This window comes from Homo sapiens, chromosome 13 (assembly GCF_000001405.40).
Source record: "Homo sapiens chromosome 13, GRCh38.p14 Primary Assembly".
NCBI classification, from domain to species: domain Eukaryota; kingdom Metazoa; phylum Chordata; class Mammalia; order Primates; family Hominidae; genus Homo; species Homo sapiens.
In genome coordinates, this window is record NC_000013.11 from 97,056,280 (window position 1) to 97,058,008 (window position 1,729).

A 1,729-nucleotide genomic window follows, 5' to 3' on the forward strand; every position below is an offset into this window, starting at 1 on the left:
ACAATTTTTGAAATCTTGTTTAAAAATGTAAACCTGGAAGGAACTGATTTTTTTCCACAAGGGAGGATTTTATCACTGACATTGTTTGAAACTAGACTCATGGTGATAACATAAAGCAGACTAATGCTTGGCTGTCTTTACTGTTGTTTCCAAAACTGTCCACAGGCAATACACTCCTTATGACCTATACTCTGGATGGATTTCTTCCACTGCCTTACCCTTGTTATGCCATCTTAGCAGTCCATGACAGTAGCCTCTCTTGAAGAAGGCTGGTGATAGTTAAGACACCACAATTTGAACCCAAGCAGTCCAATTTAGTTTCTGCCCATCCCTGGGACCCCTTTAGTACCCCTGGGCCTCCATTTTCCTCAGTCTAGTAGAGGTTATTCAGGGTGTCAGAGACAGGGGAGGAGAACATCTCCATGGCTTCCATGCAAAAGTATGCTAGGCTCTTGATGTCCACACAACTCTCTTGTGACCCCAACCCCCACACCCACACCCACACCCACATGGCTGGATTTGAAAGGGTGTGGCCACCTGAAAAGATTTTACTTATCATTGTTGCATCTATCTTCAAAGCGATTGATATGTCTGTTTTTTGGTAGTTAATTGTCTTGGTTTGGTATCAATGATATATTGCAGAACAAGTTGGAAATTTTCTAGCTCTCTGTTCTTTCAAACAAAGTAAATACAGCTCCTTGAAGTTGTTATAGATTTCACCAATAAAATTCTGTGGACTGGAACCTTTGGGTGGGGTAATATTTGACTTAATTTTTTTAATTAAATAAAATTAAATTTAGCTTCTGTAAAAATTACATATGACACTTACAAATAATTTAATTAATACAGAAAAGACAAAGATGAGAAAGATGAAAGTAAAATACTCAAATCCCATCACACGTGAATAATCATTAACATTCATACTTTTGTAAAAACCAAATAATGTATTTTTCAATAAAAGGATTAAATGTAACTTATCCAAATTTAATAGAAGAAAAATAAACTGAAGTAAAACCAGTGAGATCACTTCATCCTCACATAAATGTTTCTTCACTCCATGAGATATTTCCCAACAAAAGATTCTTCTATAGTCTTCCAGATTCTTTTGTGGTTCAGAGCATGATAATTGGGTTTTCATGCTATGTGTGAGATGAACCTCCCTCAAACCTTGTTAAGACGTCAGCACATTACCAATCTGACATGAAGATACCAGGGAAGATACCAAATAAAACACTCAGTGTAGAATCATTACATCTCATTAAAAACACAATATGATTTTAGGTAGTGTCAAGTGCTTACCTGCAGGGCTAGATGAATGCACTAGCAATTTCATTCTTCTTCCTGTTTCAAGTATTTGTATTCTGTAACAATAATTCCCAAAGTTGTTTAGAATTTGTTTTATATATAAATCAGTTCAAGGCTCTCCACCAGTGCAGAGCCTTCATTTCTAAGCTCTTTATTTAATTTCATCTCTAGGTTTTTTGTCATCAAGGAATTTGCTGAAGAGGGCTCACACTGTATTTCATGGGAAAGCCTGAAAGTTTCCTAAATCTTTGAAAGCAGGGCTGACTTTGTTAGTGTGCAGCCCATGCAGCAACACAGAATCTTGCGCTGAGACAAGAAGTACCCCATGCTTGGGCTAATTCATGTTCTGCTGTCATCATTTTGAAATTCTTAATATATTTTGTATCTAGGGGTACCTTGTTTTCATTTTGCTTTGGGCCCCACT

The 1,729-nt window shown here is 36.8% G+C and overlaps 1 non-coding gene across 1 annotated transcript; it reads left to right on the top strand.

Annotated features, from left to right (window-relative positions):
• Positions 1 to 1,099: 1,099 nt before the first annotated feature.
• On the top strand, positions 1,100 to 1,201 carry LOC124903264 (small nucleolar RNA U13). The gene has a single exon (XR_007063963.1). It is a non-coding gene; the product is annotated as a small nucleolar RNA U13 (small nucleolar RNA).
• Positions 1,202 to 1,729: the final 528 nt, after the last annotated feature.